At 38.4% G+C, this 17856-nt stretch overlaps 1 annotated feature.

The window, feature by feature from the left end:
• Positions 7113–9032: an enhancer, noted in NCBI's record as "VISTA enhancer hs975". NCBI's record gives its function as "enhancer in: midbrain (mesencephalon)[4/7]" and the evidence as "EXISTENCE:transgenic organism evidence [ECO:0001131][PMID:17130149]".

Here is a 17856-nt window from a genome sequence, read left to right on the forward strand (position 1 = left end):
ACAAGCCCATGTGATTTCTGTGATAATGAGGACAAGGCTATAAGACGATTGAGGGCTTTGGAGGATACCATGGGGCATTTGGGACCACCCTACCTTCATCTTTTCGCTCAGACTTTTCTTGTGTGATTTTTGGATGTCCCCTCTCAGAGGGAAATGATGCCTCAGTGCCTTCCCTCTAATGTGGAAACTGCCTTTACCCAATGTAAATTCCATAATTTTTAAAAAACTCAATAAACTAGATATTGATGGAATGTATCTCAAAATAATAGGAGCTATTTATGACAAACCCACAGCCAATATCACACTGAATGGGCAAAAGCAGGAAGCATTCCCTTTGAAAACCGACAGAAGACAAGGATGCCATCTCTCGCCACTCCTATTCAACATAGTATATTAGAAGCTCTGGGCGGGGCAATCAGGCAAGAGAAGGAAATAAAGGGTATTCAGATAGGAAGAGAGGAAGGCAAATTGTCCCTGTTTGCAGACGACGTGATTCTATATTTAGAAAAGCCCAGCATCTCAGCCCAAAATCTCCTTAAGCTGATAAGCAGTCAACAAAGTCTCAGGATACAAAATCAATATGCAAAAATCACGAGCATTCCTATACACCAATAATAGAGAGACAGCCAAATCATGAGTAAACTCCCATTCACAACTGTTACAAAAAGAATGAAATACCTAGAAATACAACTGTACAAGGGATGTGAAGGACCTCTTCAAGGAGAACCACAAACCACTGCTTGAGGAAATAAGAGAGGACACAAACAAATGGAAAAACATTCCATGCTCATGGATAGGAAGAATCAATATCGTGAAAATGGCCATACTGCCCAAAGTAATTTATAGATTCAGTGCTATCCCCATCAAGCTATCATTGACTTTCTTCACAGAATTGGAAAAAACTACTTTAAATTTCATATGGAACCAAAAAAGAGCCTGTATAGCCAAGACAATTTTAAGCAAAAAGAACAAAGCTGGAGGCATCATGCTACCTGACTTCAAACTATACTACAAGGCTACAGTAATCAAAACAGCATGGTAGTGGCACCAAAACAGATATATAGACCAATGGAACAGAATAGAGGCCTCAGAAATAACACCACACATCTACAACCATCTGATCTTTGACAGACCTGACCAAAACAAGCAATGGGGAAAGGATTCCCTATTTAATAAATGGTGTTGGGAAAACTGGATAGCCATATGCAGAAAACTGAAACTGGCTTCCTTACACCTTATACAAAAATTAACTCAAGATGTATTAAAGATATAAATGTAAGACCTAAAATCTTAAAAATCCTAGAAGAAAACCTAGGCAATACCATCCAGGACGCAGGCACAGGCAAAGACTTCGTGACTAAAACCCCAAAAGCAATTGCAACAAAAGCCAAAATTGACAAATGGAATCTAATTAAATTAAAGAGCTTCTGCACAGCAAAAGAAACTATTATCAGGGTGAACAGGCAACCTCTAGAATGGGAGAACATTTTTGCAATCTATCCATCTGACAAAGGGCTAATATCCATAATCTACAAGGAATTTAAACAAATTTACAAGAAAAAAACAACCCCATCAAAAAAATGGGCAAAAGATATGAGCAGACACTTTTCAAAAGAAGACATTTATGTGGCCAACAAACATGAGGAAAAGCTCATCATCACTGGTCATTGGAGAAATGCAAATCAAAACCACAATGAGATACCATCTCACACCAGTTAGAATGGTGATCATTAAAAGGAGGTCAGGAAACAACAGATGCTGGAGAGGATGTGGAGAAATAGGAATGCTTTTACACTGTTGGTGGGAGTGTAAATTAGTTCAACCATTGTGGAAAGCAGTGTGGCAATTCCTCAAAGATCTGGAACTAGAAAAACCATTTGAAACAGCAATCCCATTACTGGGTATGTACCCAAAGGATTATAAATCATTCTACTATAAAGACACATGCACATGTATGTTTATTGCAGCACTGTTCACAGTGGCAAAGACTTGGAACCAACCCAAATGCCCATCAATGATAAAGAAAATGTGGCACATATACACCATGGAATACTATGCAGCCACACAAAAGGATGAGTTCATATCCTTTGCAGGGACATGGATGAGCTCAAAACCACCATTCTCAGCAAACTAACACAGGAACAGAAAACCAAACACTGCTTGTTCTCACTCCTAAGTGGGAGCTGAACAATGAGAACACATGGACACAGGGAGGGGAACATCTCACACCAGGGCCTGTCGAGGGGTGGGGGGCTAGGGGAGGGATAGCATTAGGAGAAATACCTAATGCAGATGACGGGTTGATGGGTGCAGCAAACCATCATGGCACGTGTATACCTATGTAACAAACCTGCACGTTCTGCACATGTATCCCAGAACTTAAAGTATAATAAAAGAAAAAAGAAAAAATACAGAAACAGACAAGACAGAAAAAAGAGTCTTTCTGTAATATGGAAACTTCAAGCAGAGGACTCAAGGTATTTTATTTTATCAAACTGGATCTAATTTCACCAAAGCATTAGAAAGAAATCTGTTTGGCATTTTTGTTGTCCAGTATTCCACCCACTCTGAAGACATTAAAAAGCCACCTTTCGGCTTTACAGATGCCTCCGTGGAACACGGAATTATGTAATTGGACGAACAGTTACCACTTTTCCACACTCTTGCTACCCCATGTTACTGCTGAGCAGACTACTGTTTTGCAGGCCTTCCTTATTGCGTAAATGGCTACATTATCACTGTGTACACATTAGGACAAGCAAATGGGCCCCTTAAGGCAAATAAGGGTTCAAATAACCCAGACAAGGTAGCACAACTGAATTGAGGATTCACCCTTCTTACAACCTTATTGCTTTATGGCACATGAACTAACGGAAGGGACAGACTGCTTCAAGTGTGTTTCCTCTGATCCTGTTGGCAAATCATAGCTTTATTACAGTAATGAGTCTGACCATATTTCTGTGCTTATGCATATTAGGCACCAAATGTATTTTCTGGCCTGCCAGCCTGTGGTAGTAACTAACACGAGCAATTTGTCCTGGGTTACAGTGTGTGTGCATGCATTAGGTATGAACATGTTAGTTGCTCTGGGTTATAAAACACTACATGTTTCATCACGTGTATTTTTATGTGCACAACTTAACTATATGCAAAATAGCCTGGCAATTAACCAACACAACTTATTAGTAGGCTACAAGATTATTCCATAATCTTGGGGAAAGCCACAATTTCAATTTAGCAATATTAAACATTCCATAGAATTATTAAATACCTAAGGAAAATGCTGAATTTTTTTCCTCTATAAGTGTTAAGATTTTTAAAAAATACCCTTATTCTCCTCTCAATTTCATTTTCATAACTCGGAATGACTCCTTTTTAGGAGAATTTGGGATTTTAGACCGTGTATTCCCCTATACTCATTGTGAGATGATATTTGGCCTTTGACCACAACCATTTTCAGGTAAAGGTAAATGATCATTATTGTAATTGTTGCCTCAGGATCATATTTTATGTATGCCATTTATTGGGTTCATTATTATGAAAAAGTGACATCAGCATAAATTTCAGCTCAACCAGTAAAAACAATGTATTTTTTTCCTTCCCTTTCTATTGATGAAGCATAGGCCTGGTGCTGTTTGCTTGATTGTATAACTGTATAGGAAGCATACTAATAATTCAGGGGCTTACTTTAAAAGAACATACATGTGGAAATACATCCTCTTGCGCTCTTAATTAAAATTAGCTCTTTCTCTCACTCCCCTGCAAAATAAATCAATAAATATATAAACAAAAAGAAATAAGTAGGTGAATAAAGAATTAGAATCAGTCAAAAACCTCTGCTAACAGAATTACCCTTGCTGCTTCCACACAGTTGTTTTAGGTTGTCAGAGATTTACTTTTTTCCTCCATTCGGGTTGGATTTATGCAAATGACCACACAGGACAGGTGCCTTTATTTAGTCACTACTAAAGCTGGAATCATGTTGTACAAGAGCTGATAACATGAAATAACACGAAATAAGTGGGCTTATCCCTTCTGAAGCTTGTTTTACAGTACTGGTATTTCTCTTTAGCAAATCCTGCTGCGTTTTTAAGTATTATGATAAAACAACATAAATGTCTTTGTGGCTAAAACTGATTGTTTCAGAAAGAACACGGCTGTTTTATTCTTGTCTTTTATATCCTCTACATTGAATGTTTGAACACATTTACAGTTCCCTGGTCTATGTGTATATCATGGGTTATTTGCTTATGGACCCCACAATTATTCATGCACTGAAGAAAGCAATAAGGGGAGGAAACTCATATTGGTAATAGCAGCACCCCAAATAAATAGAAAACCAAGACTGCAATGTGCCTTTTGCAGTCCTGTCACAGATTAATATGGCTCATGATAGATACTTAGTTCTCTGACAGTTTCCCATGGACCTTCGCTGGGAAGTTGATAGAAATTACTCCAGCTGAATGCTTAAAGCAGATGTTATCCCATTAATTAGCTTTGGACCTGGGTACACTCGAGACTTTCCCATTTTGAGGCCGAAAGGAATTGGTCCCAGTGAGCGTGCTCTATATCCACATTTAGTATCATCTCATAAACAGCAGTGAAAACACAGCAGGCCCTTGATGAAGATACATTAGCTTATTTCTAATTTAAAGTTATGTTGCTTAACCTTAATGTAATTGGTCACTGGTGGCCAACTGTTTGTATAGTGTGTTGATGACCAAAGAGATGTAATAAATTATAAAACTCTCTGCTTAAATGGAGGGAACGACTGCTTTGTTAAAAGCCTTGCATGTAATAATGGTAAAATAATTACACCTCAAGCCAAATAACTGTGAAGCTGTTAATACTAACAACAGAGTTGTTCTCAGGATAGCTCAGTTCATCCCCATTTAAAACTAGTACATGAACGAGGCTCTTATATTTAGCCAAAGAGTAACTTTGAATGTTCAATCTCACATTGATTAAAATAAATGAGTAAGTTATCCTGTTACATTATTTGGGAATGATGGTGATGAGTAGTGGTGGTGGAGTGAATTAAAATATGTAGCCAATTGCTATGGTTAACTAGGAAACAAAAAGTGCAAATAATTCTATTCAGTACCTCAATTCATAGTCACCGCCAGGCACATTTTTAAAGAAGACTTGATTAGCTGGTAGAATAACTGGGATAATACTCCAATATGAAAGTAATTGACACAACTTTAATGCTTAATAATGAATAGCATGCTAGGGGCGAAATAAAGGCAAACTGTCTTCTTTTCTGAGAACAAGTTCAGACTTAAAATTTCTTAGGCCAAATATAGTGATTCCTTGAGGCTTGTGAGTTGCAACTCCAGCATTATAGGTAAAGTTACAAATATGATTACAATGAAATACCGTGAGCAATAATATTCGTGCTATTAGTTTTCTATATGTTACTGTTGAAAATCTGCTTCTCCCTCTCCATATTAAAGGCTTGCAAATTTAGGTTAAAATGCAAAAGTGAAATAAACATATCCATGCTTCTGCCTGTGTGTTCTTTTTTCCTTCCTCATTCGATTGTGTTAACTAGCTTTGCTGTAACAAGTAGGAAAAGTACAGTATTTGCTTTTCTCAAAAGATAGTCCTTTACTCTAAATATTTGCATTCTGAATTTGGATCACCTCCAAAGGGCATTCATTTTACAATAGAGTAAAAACATCTCTCTTCTCACATTACATTTCCTAGAAAGACCTTCCAATAATTTAAACTATTTACAGTACCTCTAGGTCATTATTTCCCCTGACTCCACCGAAAATACCCTGAGACACTATTTACAGCTGACTCCTGAGTTACCTCACAGGATCAGTTTACAAAACGGAGACTTCACCATGTGAAAGTCATTATTTTGTTTAACACAACTTGCAATGTTAAGTGTTTTTTTTTCTTTCTCTTTCTTTTGTTTTTTTTTTTTTTTAAATTTGCCACTTTTACACAAATACTGCCTTAGCTGATAGGAAAACCCTGGAAGCTCAGATATGAATATATTTATCTCTCCAGGGCCAATCTGTTGATACTAACTGGATCTAATCCATGAAACAAAAAAGGGTGATAGGAAAATAGCAGAAGAATAAAAGAAATTTTTCCTTCTTGAACAAAAGAGAAACTTCTTATGAAATTAAAAATTCTGCATTATGAATAATAACCTATCAGAGGTTTCTAAACAGAGGATAGTGGGCTGTCCCATCAAGACCATGCTAATTGAGGCAATGAAGGGGGAAGTCCCCAACTTTGTACAGAGACTAGTGGTGCTCTGGGAATAACTTCAGAGCTACCCTTCTTAAGAGTAAAAATGACTCCGTTGCTGTTCCAACTAAAAATCAATATGGCTCACAATTTTAATAAGGAACATGAATCTGAAAACGTGTTTAGTATCAGGTTATATAAACACACCCTAATGAGATACCATAAAATCCATCACATTAAAGGCTGGTTTCCTGCAAGGTATATTAGCTAAAAATGCTCCATATATTAGGTCAGTATACAGCAGTACACATAATAAAACAGCTCTGTCAAGATAAGATGCATGTTTTGCCCCTTAAAACTGTTATGTTTTGCACATTTTATAAGGTTCCTTGAATACATGAATAAGATAAGTTATTCCCATCTCTTTCTTAAGCAATCTCAGAAATGGCTATGACCTGAAATTGGAATTCTTGTAAACACCCATCCGAAGAAAATGTGTGCAGCTCTGTCTTAAAGAGATGGTACATGTTTAATTATCCCAACTTCTTCTAGCAGAATACTATTAACATGCACATTAGCATCATCTCATTGGTTCTTCCTGCTGCTCCACCTTAGGGGCAGCAGTAGGAGCTAATCTTATTGCTCCCATGCGCATAATAATGAAATTTGGTCTTGTCTCAAGGCAGCGTTCTTTGGTCTAAAGTACAGCTGGAGACATTACTGTTTTGGAACATTCCTGACCGATTGATTGTAAAACATAAAGAAGTAAAATAAAATATAGTCCCAAACAATGCTTGTGAAACATATTGTTTTACTTTGAGCATCAAATATCGAACAATTGAAGGTACGAATGACTCTATGTTTGAATAAAGACATAAGTGGAGGGAAATTCTTAAGATACCTCTATCTGTGTACATGCCAACAAGCACACCCCATGTATAAACCCCAATCAACGTGTACCTGTGAAAGTTCTGTTTCTGAACACTACCTTTAGCTGTATACAGGCAGGACAAAAATAAGCCAAAACCATAGAAAGAGCCCTTTTCTCATGTCTTTTTCATCCATTTTCCAAAAAACAATGACAAGAGCTCATGGAATGTGTAATGTGCTTGCCTTTTTGCATGCAACGTTGGAAAGCTTAAAAAAAAACTATGCATACACTACATAGCACACACAAAAATACTTGTGAATTCAAGGCTACTGAATTAAGGGAGGTTGTTCCAACATTTCCCTCACTGTACATTATTTGTATTCAAGGTTTTTGAAATGACATTGTAATCTGATGATGCACCAGCCTATTATATTGTCTAGCAGGACAAATATCCTTGCGTTTTCTCTGTAGAACTAACACAATTTTTCCATGTCAGAGGTGCATAATATCCTGGCGGTCATAAGGAATGATGCTATTAATCCTCTTGGGCAATCTCCAGGTCTGATTATTAGGGAAATAAATTTGCATGCTGCATATGAGCTAGGTGAATCACCGAGAGCACAAATTATATTTCCTGACAGCAAGTTAGAGAATGGAGCCGTGTCGCTTTTTTATCTTTCCCCCCTTCTGAAAGCTATAGAATTTCAATTCATTACATGAGATTGGTTAGAATTCAAGTCTCTTTTTAAGTTGATATTAAGTTGAGTCTGTTATCTCTGCAAAGGCTGGTAGGTTCCCCAGAGTATCCACCTAATCACTACTTAAAAAAATCGAAATGTATAGTTAGTGTCATGATTTAGGTACCAGAGCTACTTTATTTATCAGCACAGAGTGAGATAATTTCAATTTGAGCCTCCATAGCCCTCATGAATTTAACTGACGTGAAAGCTTTTCACCCCAACTCTCCTTCTCCCTCCTCCTTTTGTTGCATATTGTAATAATAGTTATTCTGTGCACCTTCGTTGTTGCCATGCCAAGCATTGTACTAGACTCCTTCCTTTCTCGTAGAGACTCGATTCTAGCCAGGCTTGTGCAAAACATCCCCTAGTTTCTTTTTCCACATCTGACTGCCTCCTCTCTGCCAGCAGTACTGCCAGGCGTGTCTGCGTTCAATATCCATGATGAATGTATTTTTATTATTTCTAGGGTTTGGCATCAGAGAAAGCTTCTTGCATTATTAAATTTGAGCAGGGAGAATGATAGCAAATAAGAGCATAATAAATTGCTTTATGTCCTAATGAATTAATTAAGCAGACATTTATTATAATGGTTGTTTTATAGACCCATTGTAAAAATGTATGATTGTGTGGTGATACTCTTAGCTGGAGCCACATATGGCAACTCGGGTGAATGGGTTGTGACGTCTGTCAGATAGGAAAGGGTTCACCAGGTCTAGTCTGCAAATTCACAAGGATGCAATGAACCTTGCTGAGGTGTGAGTTTGGTGAAATATTATTGCTATGGCTAGCATGCAGGCAAGTTGAGAATCCTTTTATTATTATTGTGGTTGTGCATAAAAATAAAAATATGCATACCATGTGCAGTCAAATAGCTTATATTTGTATAGTGTTTTATAGTTTTTAAAGTATATTTACAGATGAATGCACCACAAAAAGAAACAGCAGGTTATGGAGGCTTCCTTCAATTCAAAAATGTATATCATTACCATTGTTTGAAACAGAAATATATGTACACTTCAGAATAATAAGAGTAATGGCAAATCCAAGAGGCGGACAATTTTGGAATATGTAAGCTCTAAGTGTTTTAGATTATATTTATTTACTCAGAGCAAACCAAAGCGGCACAGCTCAAGGGTTATATCTGGGCCTAGTGATTACTTGAGCCATGGGTAATTGTCAGAGAAACAATTCATTCTTTATCTTGCTTCTTCACAGTGGGTCAAGTGACTCATCTGCCATTTTCCCAAAAATAATAATAAAATAATAAAGTAAGATAAAATAAAAGGCTGCAAATTCTTCCTTTGCTTTGCTTTCCCATATGGTTTGGGGCATTCCTTTTCAGAACAGAGGTACCTCTGAATCACAGGTGTGCTTTGCAGGCACATGGCTTGGGATTCTGCATAGTCAGGAAATATACCCTACTTTTAGGAAAAGGAGATAACAGTTTGAAAGAAATCAGAGAATGTCCGTGGGGAGGGACAGTGGGAGCCTGAAGGGTTGGTTTCTGTACCTCACTAGAGGCATGAGGGCTATTTTTGGCTTCAAGTAGCAGTGCTTTTCAGCAGTGTTGAGTTTAATTCCTGTGTAAGTCTGGGCACTGAGACTGATTATAGAGGTGATTTGTAACATATTCAGGAAAGGACATTAGTTTAGAATCTGGGAATGCCTGAAAGCAGTTACTGCAAATAAACCAAACCAAGTTCGTCTCTAGCACTATCCTGGACTCCTCTCCCCAAGAATTCTGTATGCTGGATGGCCTCAAACAAAGTGTCAGAAGGATTAGGAAATGGGAGGGATGGAGAAGGCACAAGGCTGGAGTATGATGATTGTTGAGTGCCCGTGAAAGGCCTTGAGCCTGGCCACTGGCCAGCCCTGGAAAAGAACCGTTCAGGCCATGCAAAGTGCATCCATGAACTGGGAGCCAAACACCATGTGATCCAGAAAAATGCTTCCTCCCTCAGCAGTATGTCAAAACATTCATTCATTTCAGCGAAAATACATCAGTTTGACAAGTTCCTTTATATTTAGAACATGACAGCATCTGAGTGATTTGAGTTTGCTACTTTAGTACCAGTTGTTCAGATATATGTCTGGATTAGAGAAGGAATTTCCATTCCTAAAGGCCAGGCATCCTGCTGGGCACTTTGTTTATGTTCTTTTTTATGATCCACACCATAGCTTTACATGAGAAGGAGTGTAGGTCTACTGCAGATATGAGGTCACTGAAATTTGAGCAATTAAGTCAATGCCCTGGCTCATAGCTGGGAGGCGGTAGAGCTGGTATTCAAATATGATTATGACGCCTAAAGTCTCTTGTTTTTATTCTAGGGTTAATCTTTCTCCTAGACAGACAGAGAGAGAAAGGGAGATGGTGTTGGAGAGGAAGATGGAAAGAGAAGCATAGGGAGAAGAGAAAAAGAGAAAGTGAGGTAAAGGTAGGAGGAAGGAATGAGAAAAGGGAGAGTGAGAGACAGTGAGGAGAGGAGGAAGGGAGGGAGAGAGAGAGAAAAAAAAGGAGAGAGGAGAGAGAATGAGAGAATTTGAATCTTCAAAGGAAAAGGAAGGTAAATGTAATCGAAAATATTTCTCTATCTTTTCATACTGCCACTCCAACTGAGACTGGATACTATCTTAACATTAACAAGAATCACATGTAAACCACTTCTGTTTACTCTTGAGAGTTACAGGAAAAAGTTTGATGTTATATGACTTCTGGTCATTGCCTTTCTCAGAAGGTTTATCAGGGTACACAGGTAATGAAGCCTCGTGCCTCAGGATTATGCTCTTTAGACCCAGACAGAATTATGTATAAATTAAATCTTGATCATTTACTAGCTGTTGTTTCCTAGAGCAAGCCATTTAATTTCTTTGAATGTTCAATTATTAGTATTGTTGTTATTAATATTATTGTACTTAATAGACTCAATCATAAAACTTCATGAAGCACAGTAAATTCTCTCAGGTCTCTGGTCAAAATGCAAATTTGTATAGTTCAGACCATAAACCAGGCAGAATCCAATCCTCCTATGTCATTATCCACCTTGCATAAAAATGTGACACTGATTGCCTGGGCTGTAGACACTGAGGATGAAACCAAAAGCTGTAAGTGGCAGTGATTGTCCTCTCGCATTGTGATTGTGTGGATCGTGGTAAGGTGTTTGATTATAATAAAAGGAATCTACATGCCTTACATTTGTCTTGGCTTTTGCAGTGAATAAGATCTTATTTTTTTTTTTTTTTTTTTTTTTTTTTGAGGCAGGGCCTCACTTTGCCCTGGCTGGAGTGCTGTGTTGCGATCATGGTTCACTGCAGCCTCAAACTCTGGAGCTCAAGCCATGCTCTCACCTCAGTCTCCCAATGTGCTGGGATTACAGGCATAACTCACTGTGCCCAGCCTAAGAATGTTTACTTCAGTGATTCCCTGTGAGTTTCATAATTACCACAAGACATAAACACTTTCATTGACATGTTGCAGATGGGGAAACTGAGTTTCAGTGACATTTGAAATGACCTGCCCGATACCACAAATCTGTAATAGAAGAGGACATGAAACTCAGGTTTTCAGTTTCTTGTGTTCCTTTGGGGTCTGAAATTTCAGATTTGAATCTTAAAGTGAGGTATTTCAAAAAGAGGATGGAATATTTTCTACCAAATTATTCTGCCAGCTAAGGAAACTAGAAGACATCAAGCTTTATATAGAATCTGGATTCATGAGGTGAGTTGACTGATACATCTTTAAAAAATCTCACCGTTATAAGAACACTAATACCACTTACATTTATATAGGGCTTGGATTCCAGTGATTGCATACTTGTCCTAAAAGCAAAGGCTAGCTTTTCAGGATTTTGCCCAGGGCCCTGGAATCCACCAGGGAGATGGCAGTCTACTGCTAACTTCTGTGCAGTGACCTATCATGACAAAAAAGAAATTTCACACAGCCCAAGCAACTGACAAAACAGTTCACCTTTCAGGGAAAATGTAATATTTTCTGATAAGCAGCTTATGCTAGTTTTCTTAGCAAATAGCCTGGAAGCATTTCTGTCTGTGGCATTTCTAGATGTGATAAGTTGAAGGGAACCCTTCTGACCATGCCATAGTTAGGCAGGCCCTTTTCGTTCAGGGGACAGCTATTTGGAAAGATCTAAACACGTAACAATTTGAAAATGATATAAAATAATTGATCACAGAGACAGCCCAGAGCATGCATTGTTAACAGAAACACATGTCCCTGTTTATGGAGTTGTAAACAGAGACGTGTGTATTTATTGTTGGAGTTGGAGGCCAAAGCCTGAGGCAAGATTAGGTCAAAGCCTTGTCTCTTTTGCACATGGCCATGAATAAAAGCAATGCACATTTTTAGTAGCATTACTCTCCAATGTGTGTTCGAAGAACAGGGACAAGGTGGTAGGTGTTTCTATACTAGGCTTCATTTGCTCATCACAGAAACATAATGAAGAGATATTGTTGCCATTTGGTGAATGAAACACTGAGGACCAGGATCGTTTAGAAGCTTTCCTTATGTTAGGCAACTAATTAATAGTAGAGTTATGATTTCAACCACCTGGTTCCAAAGCCCAGGGTCTCCACCACGCCACTCTTCCTCCAGAAGGGAAAGAAGAGAGATGCATTGTGCAGACCTGGCCATGTGTCTGCTTCCTGTAGCGAGAACCTGGACTGCTCCAAAGACAAGAGATCTTGCTATGTTTTGCCCCTTTCTAATTACTCAAAGCAAACTCAAGGAGGTGCCGTATCTCCTCACATAGCTGATTGCCAAGAGCCTGGTCAGGCTCTGGAAAAAGATGAAGACAATTCTTTGGGGAAATTTCCAAGTGACTTACAGCCTTTGCATTGCAAAGAACACTACTGTGCCTACCCTTTGCTTTCATAAATTTGGTTGCAGGCTATTTTAAGGGAAAATGCATCCCATCTTCCCTTTACCTTGCAGGTATTCAGTAACTATTAGACCACATTTTAAAATGAATTGTGTGCACTGATGTTAGAGAAGGTTAGACTCTCTGAGCTGCCACCAGTGACATATGACTACAGTGACAGTCAGTCAGCAGTATTCAAACTGAATTAATCAGGAAACACAGCCTACTTCAATATGACGTTTAGAGGGAGGAGTGATAGCTACTTATTTACCAAAGGGATGTCACTGAACCATCTTTCTATCTAGAGATAGCCTATGGCTACATAATCCTTTCAAACCAGCAGTAGAGCAATAAACTACACTCAGAGCCAGCCAGGTCTTTCAGGCCGGTTCCCTCTTGTTCTCTTCTCTCATTCCTCAAGCTGGCTCTGGTTATTTTATTTTTGGCAAGGCCACAAGATAAAGTAGGGGTTCGAATCCCTTCTATGGGGACTGCAGGGACACAGCCTTTGGAGATGGAGGTGCTTTCTCTGATCATTCTCAAAAGTGAACATGCACATGTATCAGCACCCAGGAAGGAAGGAAATATGGTAATAACGGTGGTAGTGGTACCTTAATCTCACAAATATGTAATGCTAATTATGTAAACAGTGGAGAACTCTGAAATCTCTTCATCGTGTGTGTCATACAATGGAAATATTATGCAGCCTAACTCGACATTATACAGTAATAATGTTATTTCACATTGGCTAGTTGACAAGCATAGGCCAATGCTGTCTATCAAACAAAACTGTTGTGCCAGATTGTATCTTGGCGATAAGTAGAAGAAGAGCCACCCAGAGTCTGTTTGTGTATTAATCATGGCATCAGACTCAGGCCATTTCTGCAGGCATATCCTTTACTAAATAATTTGTAAATCTGCTGGTTACCAGGTATCTTAGTCACCTCCGGCCACCACAGGCAAATATTATAGTCAGAGTGGCTTCGACAACAGCAATGTAACAATTTATTTTCTCACAGTTCTGTAGGCTACAAATTTGAGATCAGGGTTTCAGCAGGGTGGGGTCCTGGTGAGGGCACCCGTCCTGGCTGGCAGATGGCCACCTTCTTGCTGCGTTTTCACATGGCAGAGAAGAAGATAGAGACACATTCTCTGGTGTCTTTTCTGATAAGGGCACTAATCCCTCATAAGGGCTCTACCCTTGTGACGTCTAAACCAAATTATCTATCAAAAGCCACGTCTCTAAATACCATTACACTGGGGCTTGGGGCTTCAACATATGAATGTAAGGGGGCTGGGGTGGCCATTCAGTCCGTAACAACACATTGTAGCTGAATATTTGTTGCTGAACCCCGAATCCGCCTTTTCTCATGAAACTTTTCTTTAAGCTTCAACTTAAGTGTGTTTTAATGATTTTTTGTCTTTGATTCCCTTTTTTTCCTAAGAATTTAGAAAATCATCTTCTTGTATCTCCCTAAACCGTCATGCCACTCACACTTACACAGGTGAGGCATATGCCACACAAATTTGCCGTGAAGGGAAGCAAATCGCTTTGCATGCAGGTACAGTCAAACTTGGTGAAGACTTACGGAATGATTATGACACTTGTCCTAAGAACAAGTACTTTACTTCTAGAACAGACCCAAAATAACTTGTACATTTTTGTAAGTCACCATTCCTCCTTTCTACCTAATGCTTAACTCACGCACTTTTTTTTTAACTTTCCATAATAGTCGCGGTAGGATAAGAATATTCAGATCTCAGTGCCAGAGTAAGTCTGAAGCCAAACTTAGAGTAAGCATATCTGTTGAATATCTCCTGAAAGCAACACTGATGATTTTCTTCATACAGCAGCCAGTGTTGGACTATTTCAGATGAGTTGTTGGATAAAAATGCCCTCATTCTTTAGGTGATATGTATCTAGATGGAAATCAAAGGTGAAATTCTTTTTCTTCTTCTTTCCTTTTTTTTTAAAGAATTGCAAAAAGCCTGAGAGGCTTATACCATTGAAGGAAGAGATTATTGAGTAATTACCAGTCAGGACTGACTTGTTAAGAGCTTGGTGAAACTTGAAGGCTGAGTCTACATAGCATAAAGTGAAGAGGGTATTTGGTAATTATTATTTAATTTGAGCAATCTTTGCCAAGAGGTCCTTTTACAATTAATTAGTCTTCATTTAAATACAATTTCATAAGTGGACCCCAAAGTATCACCTCAGGAGAAAAATGCAGTACCAATAATGATACTATATCAAGAAATATCATAATGGAACCTATGACGTGGCACAAATAATTATCCAAGGCCAAACAAAGCAATCCTTAATGCTGAGACTATTAGTCTCATATTCCTATTAGAGATATGTTCCTCTAGCTCTCTCTGCAAGAAAGAAAAATATTCAAGACCCATATAGAAAGAGTAATTAGTAAAATGCTTCAATTAGTGCAGATTAATTTTGCTGTTTGATTTGAACCTAGAAAATGTCATTAAGTAAACTTTTCAAGATTTATCAAGGAATTTTTTTCTACAAGTTTGTAGTGCAAATAGAGAAGACCTTTTAATCTGACTTGGAGGAAATCCAGGATTGGAGGATAATGCACACTTATTGCAACAGTTCTTATATATATATAATATATATTTTATATAATATATATATAATATATATTTTATATAATATATATTTTATATAATATATATATATAAAACTCAGCTCAATTCATTTCAACTACCTATAAAGTACATATGTATGTGACACCTACTCCGTCCCAGGCACTGTGTTTTCTAGGTAATGAGCTGCTGCTAGATGGCAAATGCTTTATAGGCAGGAACCACATCTTAATAGGCATTGCATCTCTGATGCCTAGCAACAATATTCAAGTGCGAATGTGGCAGTGTGTTTGAGGAATGCAGTCCTGGATAGGATTTAATAATGAATGCTAGGGTAGTAGGACATGGGACCTGAGCATGAAGGGCCTTGAATACAGTCAAGAGAGTCTCAGAAAATAATGATATAGAGACCAGAGAATGTTTCTGTAGTATAGACTGCAATCCACCTAGTAGTCATGCCATTATCCAGTACAACAGTCAGCAATTTTTTTTTGTAAAGAGTGAGATAGTAAATATTTTGTGCTTTGTGGGTCACAGGATCTCTGTTACAGCTACGCAGTTCTGCAGACACTGTAGCAAGGAAATCAGCCATGGACAATATGTAAACAAACGGATTAGATGGATTTAACCTATGGGCCACAGTTGGGCAACTTCTGATCTAATTTGATGTTAGCCATTCTCTTTTCTAACAAAAGACTATTTGACTGTAATATGAATGGCAACAGCAATTCTTTTTTTTTTTTATTATTTAAGTTTTAGGGTACATGTGCACAACGTGCAGGTTTGTTACATATGTATACATGTGCCATATTGGTGTGCCGCACCCATTAACTCATTATTTAGCATTAGGTATATCTCCTAATGCTATCCCTCCCCGCTCCCCCCACCCCACAACAGTCCCCGGTGTGTGATGTTCCCCTTCCTGTGTCCAACTGTTCTCATTGTTCAATTCCCACCTACGAGTGAGAACACGTGATGTTTGGTTTTTTGTCCTTGCCATAGTTTGCTGACAATGATGGTTTCCAGCTTCATCCATGTCCCTACAAAGGACATGAACACATCCTTTTTTATGGCTGCATAGTATTCCATGGTGTATATGTGCCACATTTTCTTAATCCAGTCTATCACTGTTGGACATTTGGGTTGGTTCCAAGTCTTTGCTATTGTGAATAGTGCCACAATAAACATACGTGTGCATGTGTCTTTATAGCAGCATGATTTATAATCCTTTGGGTATATACCCAGTAATGGGATGGCTGGGTCAAATGGTATTTCTAGTTCTAGATCCCTGAGGAATGGCCACACCGACTTCCACAATGGTTGAACTAGTTTACAGTCCCACCAACAGTGTAAAAGTGTTCCTATTTCTCCACATCCTCTCCGGGATCTGTTGTTTCCTGACTTTTTAATGATAGCCATTCTAACTGGTGTGAGATGGTATCTCATTGTGGTTTTGATTTGCATTTCTCTGATGGCCAGTGATGATGAGCATTTTTTCATGTGTTTTTTGGCTGCATAAATGTCTTCTTTTGAGAAGTGTCTGTTCATATCCTTTGCCCACTTTTTGATGGGGTTGTTTGTTTTTTTCTTGTAAATTTGTTTGAGTTCATTGTAGATTCTGGATACTAGCCATTTGTCAGATGAGTAGGTTGCAAAAATTTTCTCCCATTCTGCAGGTTGCCTGTTCACTCTGATGGTAGTTTCTTTTGCTGTGCAGAAGCTCTTTAGTTTAGATCCCATTTGTCAATTTTGGCTTTTGTTGCCATTGCTTTTGGTGTTTTAGACATGAAGTCCTTGCCCATGCCTATCTCCTGAATGGTATTGCCTAGGTTTTCTTCTAAGGTTTTTATGGTTTTAGGTCTAACATGTAAGTCTTTAATCCATCTTGAATTAATTTTTGTATAAGGTGTAAGGAAGGGATCCAGTTTCAGCTTTCTACATATGGCTAGCCAGTTTTCCCAGCACAATTTATTAAATAGGGACTCCTTTCCCCATTTCTTGTTTTTGTCAGGTTTGTCAAAGATCAGATAGTTGTAGATATGTGGCATTGTTTCTGAGGGCTCTGTTCTGTACCATTGGTCTATATCTCTGTTTTGGTACCAGTACCATGCTGTTTTGGGTACTGTAGCCTTGTAGTGTAGTTTGAAGTCAGGTAGCGTGATGCCTCCAGCTTTGTTCTTTTGGCTTAGGATTGACTTGGCAGTGTGGGCTCTTTTTTGGTTGCATATGAACTTTAAAGTAGTTTTTTCCAATTCTGTGAAGAAAGTCATTGGTAGCTTGATGGGGATGGCATTGAATCTATAAATTACCTTGGACAGTATGGCCATTTTCACAATATTGATTCTTCCTGCCCAAGAGCATGGAATATTCTTCCATTTGTTTGTATCCTCTTTTATTCCATTGAGCAGTGGTTTGTAGTTCTCCTTGAAGAGTTCCTTCACATCCCTTGTAAGTTGGATTCCTAGGTATTTTATTCTCTTTGAAGCAACTGTGAATGGGAGTTCCCTCATGATTTGGCTCTCTGTTTGTCTGTTATTGGTGTATAAGAATGCTTGTGATTTTT

The sequence above is a fragment of the Homo sapiens genome, chromosome 2, assembly GCF_000001405.40.
Source record: "Homo sapiens chromosome 2, GRCh38.p14 Primary Assembly".
NCBI lineage: Eukaryota > Metazoa > Chordata > Mammalia > Primates > Hominidae > Homo > Homo sapiens.